Raw genomic sequence first — 11,682 nt, 5'->3', positions numbered from 1 at the left:
TTTACCTGTCCTCAGACTGACCCTTTGCTCATTATAATAGTAAAAACACACCCCTGGGTGGAGATTTAAGATGCTAATGAACTGTACAGGCTACGTATGAAAAAGTATGTGTGGCTACTGAGCATGTGCACCCAGAGACCACCCAGAACATGCTTACTATAATAGTAACACCTCTTCCTACCTCCTTATGAATAATGCTGGAAGATTCCTGTAAAGGGAGCTTCCCTAGTGCCAGTCTTGGCTGACTCATCCTCGTGAGCAGCCCACCCTGACCTTTCAAAATATTCTTTTTCTTTTTTTCTTTTCTCTTTTTTCAGACAGAGAAGAAAACCAGTGTGGCAAGGGGAGAGGGGTTGGGAGCTGGGGTCCCAGTGGCAGGCAGGGGCAAGATCCCACTTTATCTCCCAGGTCATTTTTAAGGAATCTGCTTTTTTTTTTTAGACAGAGTTTTGCTCTGTCGCCCAGCCTGCAGTGTAGTGGCATGATCTTGGCTTACTGCAACCTCCACTTCCCGGGTTTAAGCAATTCTTCTGCCTCAGCCTCCTGAGGAGCTGGCACGTGCCATCACAACCAGCTAATTTTTGATTTTTAGTAGAGATGGGGTTTCACCATGTTGGCCAGGCTGGTCTTGACCTCCCGATCTCAAGTGATCCACCTGCAAAATATCTTTTTATTTTTCGAGAAATTACTCTATGATTCACCTCCTTTGCTGGGTGTCTCTTGTTTAAATTCTTTTAAACTAAGAAGACAAGAACCGAGGTCTTATACAAGCCATCAACATAAAGGCACACAGTTAGTAAGGGGTCAAACAGGCACTCGAAGCCAGGCCCACATGCTCTGAAACCTGTGATCTTATCCGCTCAGCTCTCCTTCCTCAGTTATCTCTGCATCTCAAAACCATGTGCGAGGAAGACAAGGCACAAACACTGTCCCATTTTACAGAGAGGAAAGGGAGGCAGCCTGCTTGAGAGCACACAGCTGGTGAACACAGGGCCTGTGCTCAGAAACTCAGGTCCACCTGATTCCCTGGCCAGTGCCTCTTTTCTTTGTTCCTTCAGGAATATTCCAGAAAAGGCTCCAGTTCTATGGTTGTCTATGGTCAGCAATGCACTGCTGCCAGGGATTCTTTCTGAGCAAGATCTTATTTCTTATTTTACTGGAGCTTCCCACAAGCCTGTGAAGGTCAGAACATGCTCCATTTCACACAGGGGCAATCAGAGGTCCAGAGAGGGGAAGAGACTTCCCCAAGCCTTGGGCCAGGGTTCCTGTCTCTAAGTCCAGGGAGAGAGGCCCAGGGCAGGGTGTCCTGCAGGGACAGGCTCCAGCTAGCCAGGCTCTCTCTGCTCTGGGTGAAGTCATCGCCTTATCAGCTAATTGCCACCCTGAGGCCTAATCCTGCACTCAGCTGGAACCTTCGGGAATGGTTTCTCAGAGATGAGATGGGAGCTGTTATTGTCCAGATGAGAGGGCTGGGGGGCGGGCAGAGGGAGGGGGCAAGTTTACACTCATAATTCCCCTTGCAGCAGTTTCTCAAAAACCTCTGGAGGCAGAGACATTTCTGGGGCCTTTATGGGCAGGACTGAAGGTTTCTGCTGCTTTTCTGCCCAGTTGGCTGAGATGCCTGCCTTGTTAACAGAAACAGCGTCAGGACAAGCCAGCTTCCTATAAATAGACAAAGCTGGGGTGAAATAAATACGGGTGGGAGCTGTTTGCCTCTGACACAGAGGAGTTGGTCATTGATGATGGAGATAAAATTTGAGGAAAGAGCTTGGGAAATGTTAGCATGGGGTCACCTTGGCTAGCTGGGGAGCCCCCTAAAGGACTGGGCATTGGTGGGACATGAATGGGGCCAACACACAGCTGTTGTTCAGAGGAGGGACTGAGAGTCAGAAGGGATGATGACAGTCAGGTGACAAAGATCCAATGCCATGGATTGAGGGTGACCAATGTGCCAGGCGCCATGTGCTTTATAAGCAGAGAACAGCTGCTGAGCCTGCCGTGCGGTTGAGTGTTGGAGTCGCACAGACATGCCTGGCTCTGCTGAGCTGGTTGCTTTCCCTTTCTGATACCAGTTCCATCACTGCTGTGATGGGGATGAGAATCATACCTCCTACATTGTAGAATTGTGAGGATTAAATGAAAAGAGGCAGAGAAAGTGCTTAGCACAGGAGTGGCACACAGCGAGCACTTAAAATATGAGCCATTATTCTCACTCAGTGTAAGGTGCTGTGCTATGTGCTGGGCTTACAGCGGGGAGCAAGCCACACCCAATCCCTGACTTCTTAGTGCTGACAGTGGAGCCTGGAAGACCTGGGGAAGAGACTGATGTGATGGGACATGGAAATCATACCAGCGAGATGCAAGATGTAGGAGGAAAAAAAGACAAGTCCCCACTCCCCAGATATAGTCACTTAGAACCAAGAAAGGTGTGTTTTGGCTCTGAATGTTACCAAAACCAGGATGGCACCCAGTATGTCACTCTGTTTGTTTTATTTAACCCTCAGAACAATTCTGCACTATTCCTACTGATAAATGAAGAAGCCGAGGCTCAGGGAGGTGAAATGACATGCCTAAGGCCACACGGCTTAAGCACAGCAGAGCCAGGATGGCCTGATACCATCCTCTTATCCACTGCACTCTACAGCTTGACTTGGCTGCTGGCTGGATGTGTGATCTTGGGCAAGTCACATCTCCTTTTACCAGCCTCAGTTTCCCACCAATCAAGGTAGAATGTGAGGGTCACATAAAGTCATGGATATGAGAGTACTTTGGATGTCGCAAGATGCTGTCTGTGGCTGAAGAATTATTAGCGCACATGGGACAGAAAGCACCAAAGGGCCCCTTATCTGCGATGACCACTCCATGGCCCTCTTCCCCCATAGGATCTTCTCCAAGTCAGGATGCTGGGTCACCCCAGGCCTTCTTTACACCTGCCCTGCAGGAAGGAGAAGCAGATGGAAGATTTTAAACAGCAGTATGGCTGTTGCAAGGATGTCACTCTGTGACAAAAGTGGTTTTGGCCCGTTTTACAGATAAAGAAAATGAGGCACCGCCAAGCAAGTCAACTGTCCAGAGGACAGTTTGTGGCCACAGGGGAACTCGAGAGCCGATCTCAGTCCCTGGACACCCCGTGCTGCATTAGTGGGGGTGCCACCCCTGATAAGCAAGCCATAGGCCAGCAGCACTGGAAGAGTGGGGGGCCACGGTACTGCTTAGCTCTGGGAGTTGGGTGGAGGAAGATAGGTCCCTCCAAGCCTTCCAGCTCCCTCCCCCCACCTCCCCTTTGTGGGGGTAGAGCTAGCTCTGAAGCGTCAGCCCCTCCCCCCTCATTCAAACCCTGTAGGCCCTTTCACACTTCATTCTCATCAGTTTGTGAGATTTTAATCCTTTCTTATGGGACAGAGGAGGAGTCTGGGGCCAGGGTGGGCTCAAGATGGAGACAGATAGGGGTTGGGGGTTGGGTGATGAAGCAGGACTATAATCTAGCCAAGCTGACATCCTCACTTTTTTTTTTGAGACGGAGTCTTACTCTGTCGCCCAGGCTGGAGTGCAGTGGCGCGATCTCGGCTCACTGCAAGCTCTGCCTCCCGGGTTCAAGCAATTCTCTGCCTCGGCCTCCCGAGTAGCTGGGATTACAGGCGCCTGCGACCACGCCCGGCGAATTTTTTGTATTTTTAGTAGAGATGGGATTTCACCCTCTTTGCCAGGCTGGTCTTGAACTCCTGACCTCGAGATCCGCCCGCTTTGGCCTCCTAAACTGCTGCGATTACAGGCGTAAGCCACCGCGCCCGGCCATCCTCACTTTTTTGAACTGTTGGAACGACTGAGACCCAGAAAGGTGCTAAGTCTTACAGCAACTCAGATGCAAAACCAGCCCCAAGCCGAGGTTTCCTGAGCTCCAAGTCAGACAACCCTGCCCTCCTCCGCTTTGTGCTGTGACCTACAAATGGCAAGTCTTGGCCACAGGCAGGCGGGAGACAAATAAATGCGAGCGAATGATTGAATGCTGGGCGCTGCTCTGGAGGGAGCAGGGGGATGGGGAGCTGATTCCCCTACAGGAGCCCGTAGGCAGGGCTTAGCCCCTCCCAAACCAACCCTTCTTCCCGTGGAATTAGTTCACCTGGAATTCTCCTTTTCCCCAGAGAATTGTGCGCCACCTAGAGGATACCGGGAGCTCAGCGCCCTCGTCTCTTGGGGAAAGTGCGGCACCCCTCTCCACTCCCCCACCCACCGCCCACAACTTCTAAAAAGCCCCTAACCCCTTCTAGCCTCTTCCCTGATGTCAGGAGGGTTCTGGCCAGGATCAGCTGCAGTGAAAATCTAGCAAATGAGGACATCCTTGCAGCAGAAAGGACTTAAAGTAGGATATGCCACATACTTTCCCACCTCAGGATTTTTCAGAGGCCATTTCACATTTCCTTTCCCACCTTCTTGGTTTCCTTACCTGGAAACAATGCAGACAGAAGAAATGACCGTGGTGTTCCTGCCAAAGATGCGTAGCCTGGCCCTAATCATCAAACGAAACCCAATTAAGGCCCATTCTTCAAGCTAGTTGGCCAGTGAGCTCCAAAATGTCAAGATCACAAAATTCAGAGAAAGTTTGAGGACTTGTTTGAAGGAAACCAAAGAATGTGGCAACTAAACACAGCACGTTGTTCTAACCCAGTGAGAATCTTGTAGGGGATCTGAGGATTCGATGGTAGGAATGTGTCGATATTAATTTCCTGATGGTGATGGCTGTATTACGGTTTGTAAGAGATTGTCCTTGTTTATTGAAAATAAACACAAAGATGTTCAGGTGAGTTGGGGCATCATATCCGCAACTTATTCTCAAAGCATTTGGGGGAAAAGCACTTCTATGTACCATGCTTGCAGCTTGTCTATAAATTTGAGATAGTTTCAATGTTTAAAAAATATGTAGCATTAAAAATAAATATAGCCGAGGTCAGCGGTGTACATCTGGAGGTCAAGTGCACCACTACATACCCAAGCGGTCCAAGCTGCTTGGGAGGCTGAGACAAGAAGATAGCTTGAGCCCAGCAGTTCCAGGCCGCAGTGCGCTGTGATTGTACCTGAGAAGAGTGACTGCACTCCAGCCGGAGTGACATAGTGAGACACCATCTCCAATAAATAAATAAAATAAATTTAGTATCAGGGGAAAATGCAGACAATAATACCCCTATCTTCAGATTGGCATGGTGGTGAAATAAAAATGTGTAATCATGATACTTGCAATTTGAGCCCTGATGAAAAGCTTTATTTCCTCCTCATATGCTCTGTCTAGGAAGTTGATATCATCATCCCCATATTTCAGATAGAGAAACTGAGGTTCAAAAGATTGAAGAGACTTGCCCCAGGTGGCTGCATTTGCAGCCTAGGGTCTCAGCACCTCACATTGCTGCCTTTCCTCAACTCAGTGCCTACCCATAGCCTAAACACTACACTCTCCTTTTCTCCTCTCCACCAGTCAAAGTCTTCCCGAGTATCACAACCCAGCTTTAGTGCCAATTTCCCCAAAACATCTTCTCTGATTTCCTCTCTACTGGATATGACTGTCCATTTTCTGACCTCAAGAAATTGCAGTGAGCCGAATAATAAGATAATAAGACTGACCTCAAGAATAAGATCAGTCCTCCTCCTGGTCAGTTACTCATTCATTAAATAAATATTTGTACAGAGCCTTCTATGTGGCAGGCATTGTGCCAGGGGCTGAGCATGCACTGATGTGTGACCCTGGCCCCACCCAGAGACTGAGCGTGTACACACACAGATACACACATCATTACAAATTTGATGTTGGCCACCCAGGCAAGAGTAAGGTGCTGTGACAAGGGGTGGTCAGGGAGGCCAAGCTCAGCTTGAGTGTGAGAAGGGCCACCTGGATGGGGCAGGGAGAAGGGAGCACCTGTGGGAAGGGCTGGGAAGGGCATGAGGTAGGCTTGCTTGAGGAGCTGGAAGAAAACCAGTGTGGCAAGGGGAGAGGGGCTGGGAGCTGGCGTCCCACTGGCAGGCAGGGGTGAGATCCCACTTGACCTCCAAGACCATGTTTAAGGAATCTGAAATTTTTTTTTGAGACGGAGTCTCGCTCTGTTACCCAGGCTGGAGTGCAGTGGCACGATTTCGGCTCACTGCAATTTCTGCCTCATGAGTTCAAGTGATTCTCCTGCCTCAGCCTCCCGTGTAGCTGGGACTACAGGCATTTGTCACCATGCCTGGCTAATTTTTATATTTTCAGTGGAGACAGAGTTTCCCCATGTTGGCCAGGCAGGTCTCGAACTCCTGACCTCAAGTGATCAGCTCACCTCAGCCTCCAAAAGTGCTGGTATTAAACAGGTGTGAGCCACCAAGCCCGGCCTGGAATCAGATTTTGATTCAACTACTAAAGAAGTCACAGAGGGTTGTGAGCAGGAGTGAGCCATGAAATTTACATTTTAAAAAGATCACTCAGGGCTGCTGTGGAGGATCAGAGGGGACAAGAGTGGAAGCAGATGGGTCCTTATCTCTCCCTGTTTTCTGGTCGAGTCCGGGTCTTATCTTGCTTTCTAGAGAGCTCCTTGAGGCCAGGGAGGGCATCTGTCTCGGAGCCCAGGCTGTCCCCTCTGAAGCCTGGCCGGAGGGGCTGGGTATCCTGGCCTATCCCCTATCTCTGGGGACAATCTGGGACCCACTCTGCTCTCAAGGCTCTGTGGCCCCAGCACGGGTGGAATGTTTGACAGAGGAGCGCACGTGTTCTCCAAACAGACCTTGATTCATGTTTCCAGGAGAAACTTGCAAACAGACTTCTGCTGGCCGCATCCATCAGAGGAGAGATGGGCTCTGTAAACAAAGGCCTGCAGGCTGTCTCCATCTTTCAGGCAGGCACCCCTCCCTGCAGGTCACTGGCAGCTCCCAGCTTCACCCCAGCCAATGGGGCCACAATCTGTGCCAAGACCCTCACTAGAGCCTCAAAGACACACTGCCCCTGTTTTACAGATGAGAAAACAGAGGCTCAGAGATGTTAAGTCAGTTGCCCAAGGTCACACAGCACAGCCAGTTCGTCAACCCCAATACTGTAATTACTACGCCATATTCTCCTGCGAACAAAAACAACAGTAACTCACACTTATGAGCACTCATTACGTGCTATGCACTTCATGGAGGTTGACTCGTGTTGTTCTTCCCCTGTTTTTTTCATATGGGGAAACCAATGCACAGAGAGGGAGGTCAAGTGATTGCTCAAAGTCACACTGAGATAAGCGGGGAAAGTGGGACTTGAGCCCCAGCAGGGTGAGCCCAGAGCCCCACGTGCTTCACGCCCTGCCCGACTCTGCCTGCTGCTTCCCTGGCCTTCTGGAGCTAAGGACAGGCTCCTCCCTGTCACCCACTTTTATCTCTGCTTGAGAGGTGAAGAAACTAAGGCCCAAAGAATGGACATGACTGTGCCCCTGCCCCTGGCATCTATGGCAGGGTGGGGCCTGGAGCATGAGGTCTGCGAGTTCTCCTTCTTGGAGGCTAGGATGGGAGCTAAGGGGCCTAGGTTCTAGTCCCTGAAAGGCTGCTGTTTTGCTCTGTGACCTGCAACACAACACAGCTCCTCACTTAGCTTCAGTTTCTCCATTTGCTCAATGGGAATGACAATTGCGGCCCTTACCCACCTTACAGAGCCTGATGTGAAACGAAGTGAGGGAAGGATGGTGGGATGGGATGGTTTTCCTGGCCCGGATTCCTGTCCCATGAATGGAATGTCTAAGCAGCATCATTTTAGGGCTTAAAGCCCCAGGGGTAGGGCTGAGCGGGGCCTCCTCCATTGGGAGACCCCCCACCTTGGGCTCCAGCCCAAATTGCCAGACACAGGCCTGAGAGGCGGACTCCCCTCTAGGCAGGGGTGCCCAGGAGCCAGCCGGCTGGCCATTTGTCCACAGATGGGTGTGCAGATAACAGGCGTCTGGAGATAAGGCAGAGCCTGCTCCCGGCCTAGTGGAGAGCCAGGCTGAGCCACAGTGGGGAGGGAGACTGGGAACTGGGGACAGGGAGGTGTCTGCCAAGATGCCCTGAGGCCTGACGCAGAACTCTCTGCTACCCTGTAGCACAGAGCTGATGGCCTGCTGTCTTCTGGATCTTTCCCCAAAACAAAACAGAATAAAGCAAACAAATAAGCAAAAAATATACTTTTTTTTTGAGGCAGGCTTTCGCTCCGTCAACTGGGCTGGAGCGCAGTGGCACCATCATGGCTCACTGCAGTCTCAACCTTCCTGGCTCAAGCAACCCTCCTGCCGCAACTTCCTGACCAGCTAGGACTACAGGCATGGGTTACCACGCCTGGCTAATTCTTAAATTTTTTGTAGAGACAGGATTTTGCCATGTTGCCCAGGCTGGTCTCAAACTCCTGGGCTCAAGCGATCCTCCTGCCTCAGCCTCCCAAAGTGCTGGGACTACAGGCATGAACCACCACACCGGGCCAAAAAAAACATACCTTTATCAGAAGTGCTGCTTACACTGGAGAGAGCCCTGAGCTAGCACCAAGTGCCACTGACTTACTGGACAGGCTGTGTCAAGTCACTGCCTGACTCTGAGTCTCAGTGTCCTCATCTCTGCAGTGAGCACAGTGATCTGCTGCCACCTCCAGCCAGATACAAAGGAACGCACATAATAAATAACTAATCCCATGTGATGCCATGTGGTAAGTACTATAATCATCCCCACTCTGCAGATGAAGACATGGAGGTATGGAGGGATTAGGCCATACATCTAGTAAGTGGTGATACCAGCATTTAAATTTAGGCAACCTGGCCGGGTGCGGTGGCTCACGCCTGTAATCCCAGCACTTTGGGAGGCTGAGGCAGGAGGATCACCCGAAGTCAGGAGTTCGAGAACAGCTTGGCCAACATGGCGAAACCCCACCTCTACTAAAAATACAAAAATTAGCCAGGCATGGTGGTGGGTACCTGTAATGCCAGCTACATGGGAGGCTGAGGCAGGAGAATAACTTGAACCCAGGAGGCCGTGGTTGCAGTGAGCCAAGATTGCACCACTGCACTCCAGCCTGGGCGACAAGAGCGAAACACCATCTCAATAAATAAATAAATAAATAAATAAATAAATAAATTTAGGCAATATGATTCTAGCAGCAAGCTCCTAAGTGTTTGAAATGTCACTGCCAGTGTTATTAAAGGAATAAAGAGGGCCAGGTGTGGTGGCAGGCGCCTGTAGTCCCAGCTACTCTGGAGGCTGAGGTAGGAGGATCGCTTGAACCTGGGATGCGGAGGTTTCAGGGAGCCGAGATTGTGCCATTGCACTCCAGGCCTGGGTGAGAGAATGAGACTCTGTCTCAAAAATAAAATAAAAAAAATTTAAAAAGGAATAAAGAAAACTGCAGTTGGAGCCTATTTGGGTTTTTAAAATATACACACTTGTGGCTGGGATTGGTGGCTAACGCCTGTAATCCCAGCACTTCGGGAGGCCAAGGTAGGCAGATCACATGAGGTCAGGAGTTCGAGACCAACCTGGCCAACATTGTGAAACCCCTGGCAGGTATCCGTTAGATGACAGTAGTAGCACACTCTCCAACCCCAGCTGTGACAACCAGAAATGTCTCCAGACATTGCCAAATGTTCTCTGAGGGGAACCCCTGCTCTCCCTGAAACCCTGTTTAGAAATCACTAACCTAGAGGCTGTGACTAAGAGGGGTATTCACTTTCTTTTTTTTTTTCTTTTCTTTTTTTTTTCTGTGACAGAGTCTTGCTCTGTCACCCAGGCTAGAGTGCAGTGGCGTAATCTTGGCTCACCGCAACCTCTGCCTCCCAGGTTCAAGCAATTCTCTGCCTCAGCCTCCTGAGTAGCTGGGATTACAGGTGCCCACCGCCACGCCCGGCTAATTGTTGTGTTTTTAGTAGAGACGGGGTTTCACCATCTTGGCCAGGCTGGTCTCGAACTCACAACCTCGTGATCCACCCGCCTGGGCCTTCCAGAGTGCTGGGATTACAGGCATGAGCCACTGCACCCAGCCGAGAGGTGTTCACTTTCTAACCCCTACGCTGAAAATTTTGCCACATGCAAGCACGTTACATTGAAATAAAAGAAAAGAATACATACAAAAAAAAAAAAAGAAAAATTATTGGATGGTGGAAGGATGGGTGGCTGGATAAATGAATATCAGTTGAAGTAGCCAGATGGAAATCAAAGCCAGGGCATTCTGGGAGAATATTTTGAGCCACTTTCTGGGAGAACACTGTGAGCCAATTTCTGCATTTTACAGAAGAGGAAAGGGGGACTCACAGAGGGAGGGGCTTATCTGCACTCCCAGAACCAACTGGTGCAGAGTGAGATGAAGGTCTGGATACATTGGCTCCAGACCAGTGCTCTGAACCCAGGAAGGTGAAAAGGCAAATGAGAGAACAACTTCGCTGACAAAACTCTTGCTTTTGCAGTTGGAGGCTCCAGGGACTTGGCAGAGCTGCCACCCAGCGTGTTGCCTTTAGATGATGCCTGGAATGTTCAGGAGGCAAGGGACTTCACTGGTAACTTGGCCCCATGGAGCCCTCGGTGTAGAGAGGGATGTGCATATACATGGCAGTTTGTGCTGAGGGCCAAGCAACGGGGAAGGGTCTTTTATGGCTCAGTGTGGTGGCAGCATGATGTTGCAGGCTGGGAAGGCTGACAGAGACTAACCCAGATTGGGATAGCCCTGGAGCACCAGGTGGAGGAGAGAGAGGAGACCTAGGGTTGTTGAGAGTAGGATGGCTCAAAGGGAGAGCTGTGGCCATGGTTGTGAGAGGAGGGACTCTTCTAGAGATGACTGTGGTGAGGGTGACAGTTCTCCATTGTGAGTTTGAACACATGGTGAGGGTGAACATTCTCCATTGACAGTTCTCCATTGAACACTTAACTGTGTGCCCAAGATCCCACAATGTGTTCTCAGGGTGGAGGCAGTATTCAAACCTGCGTCCCTCTGGCTGAAGAGCTTGTGCTCCTAAGCATGCTACTCTATCCGTGGAACACCATGCAGCCTTTAAAAAGGACAGAGGAGCAGCACTACTCACAACAGCCAAGAGGCGAACACAACTTGTGTCCATCCGTGGATGAATGGATAAACAAAATGTAGCAAATACACACAATGGAATATTATTGAACCCTAAAAAGAAAGAGAATTCTGACACATGTTACTGTGGACGAGCCTTGAGGACGTTAAGCTAAGTGAAACAAGCCAGTCACAAAAAGACAAATACTGCCTGATTCCAGGTATGCGAGGCACCTGAAGTAGTCAAACTCATAGAGAGAGGAAAGTGGAAGAGTGGGGGGCTGGGAGGAGTGGAGATTTCTTGTTAATGGGTACAGAGTTTCAGTTTTGCAGGATGAAAATAGTTCTGCAGATTGGTTGCACAAGATGAGTTGTACTTAATGCCACTAAATTATACACGTCAAAGTGGTTAACACACTACATTTCATGCTATTTGTATTTAACCACAATTATTTTTAAAAAAGGAAGAGGCAGAACATGGGGTGAAACAGTCAGAGTTCCCGTAGGGAAACAAAACCACTATTATTTCTCAAGTAAGGGCTTTGCTCTAGGAATCACACCCTTCACAACTGGGAAAATGGAAATTCAGAAGGGACTTCGAGGAGAAGAGGAACCCAGTCCATCTGAGGAAGGAGTATGTTCAGTGCCCAGGCAGGACTGGAAGCAGATGCTCCTGGAGGGTCTAT

At 49.8% G+C, this 11,682-nt stretch overlaps 3 annotated features.

The window, feature by feature from the left end:
* Positions 3,657-4,260: an enhancer, noted in NCBI's record as "H3K27ac-H3K4me1 hESC enhancer chr5:153900569-153901172 (GRCh37/hg19 assembly coordinates)". NCBI's record gives its function as "activates a minimal SCP1, AML or CMV promoter by ChIP-STARR-seq in naive H9 embryonic stem cells {active_cell/tissue: H9 hESC(naive)}" and the evidence as "EXISTENCE:reporter gene assay evidence [ECO:0000049][PMID:30033119]".
* Positions 5,450-5,950: an enhancer, noted in NCBI's record as "H3K4me1 hESC enhancer chr5:153898879-153899379 (GRCh37/hg19 assembly coordinates)". NCBI's record gives its function as "activates a minimal SCP1, AML or CMV promoter by ChIP-STARR-seq in primed H9 embryonic stem cells {active_cell/tissue: H9 hESC(primed)}" and the evidence as "EXISTENCE:reporter gene assay evidence [ECO:0000049][PMID:30033119]".
* Positions 11,095-11,154: an enhancer, noted in NCBI's record as "active region_23480". NCBI's record gives its function as "activates an Ori minimal core promoter by ATAC-STARR-seq in GM12878 lymphoblastoid cells {active_cell/tissue: GM12878}" and the evidence as "EXISTENCE:reporter gene assay evidence [ECO:0000049][PMID:35858748]".

Source organism: Homo sapiens, chromosome 5 (genome assembly GCF_000001405.40).
Source record: "Homo sapiens chromosome 5, GRCh38.p14 Primary Assembly".
Lineage (NCBI taxonomy): Eukaryota > Metazoa > Chordata > Mammalia > Primates > Hominidae > Homo > Homo sapiens.
Note: the sequence above shows the minus strand (reverse complement) of the source record. Positions and strands in the feature narration are given on the sequence as shown.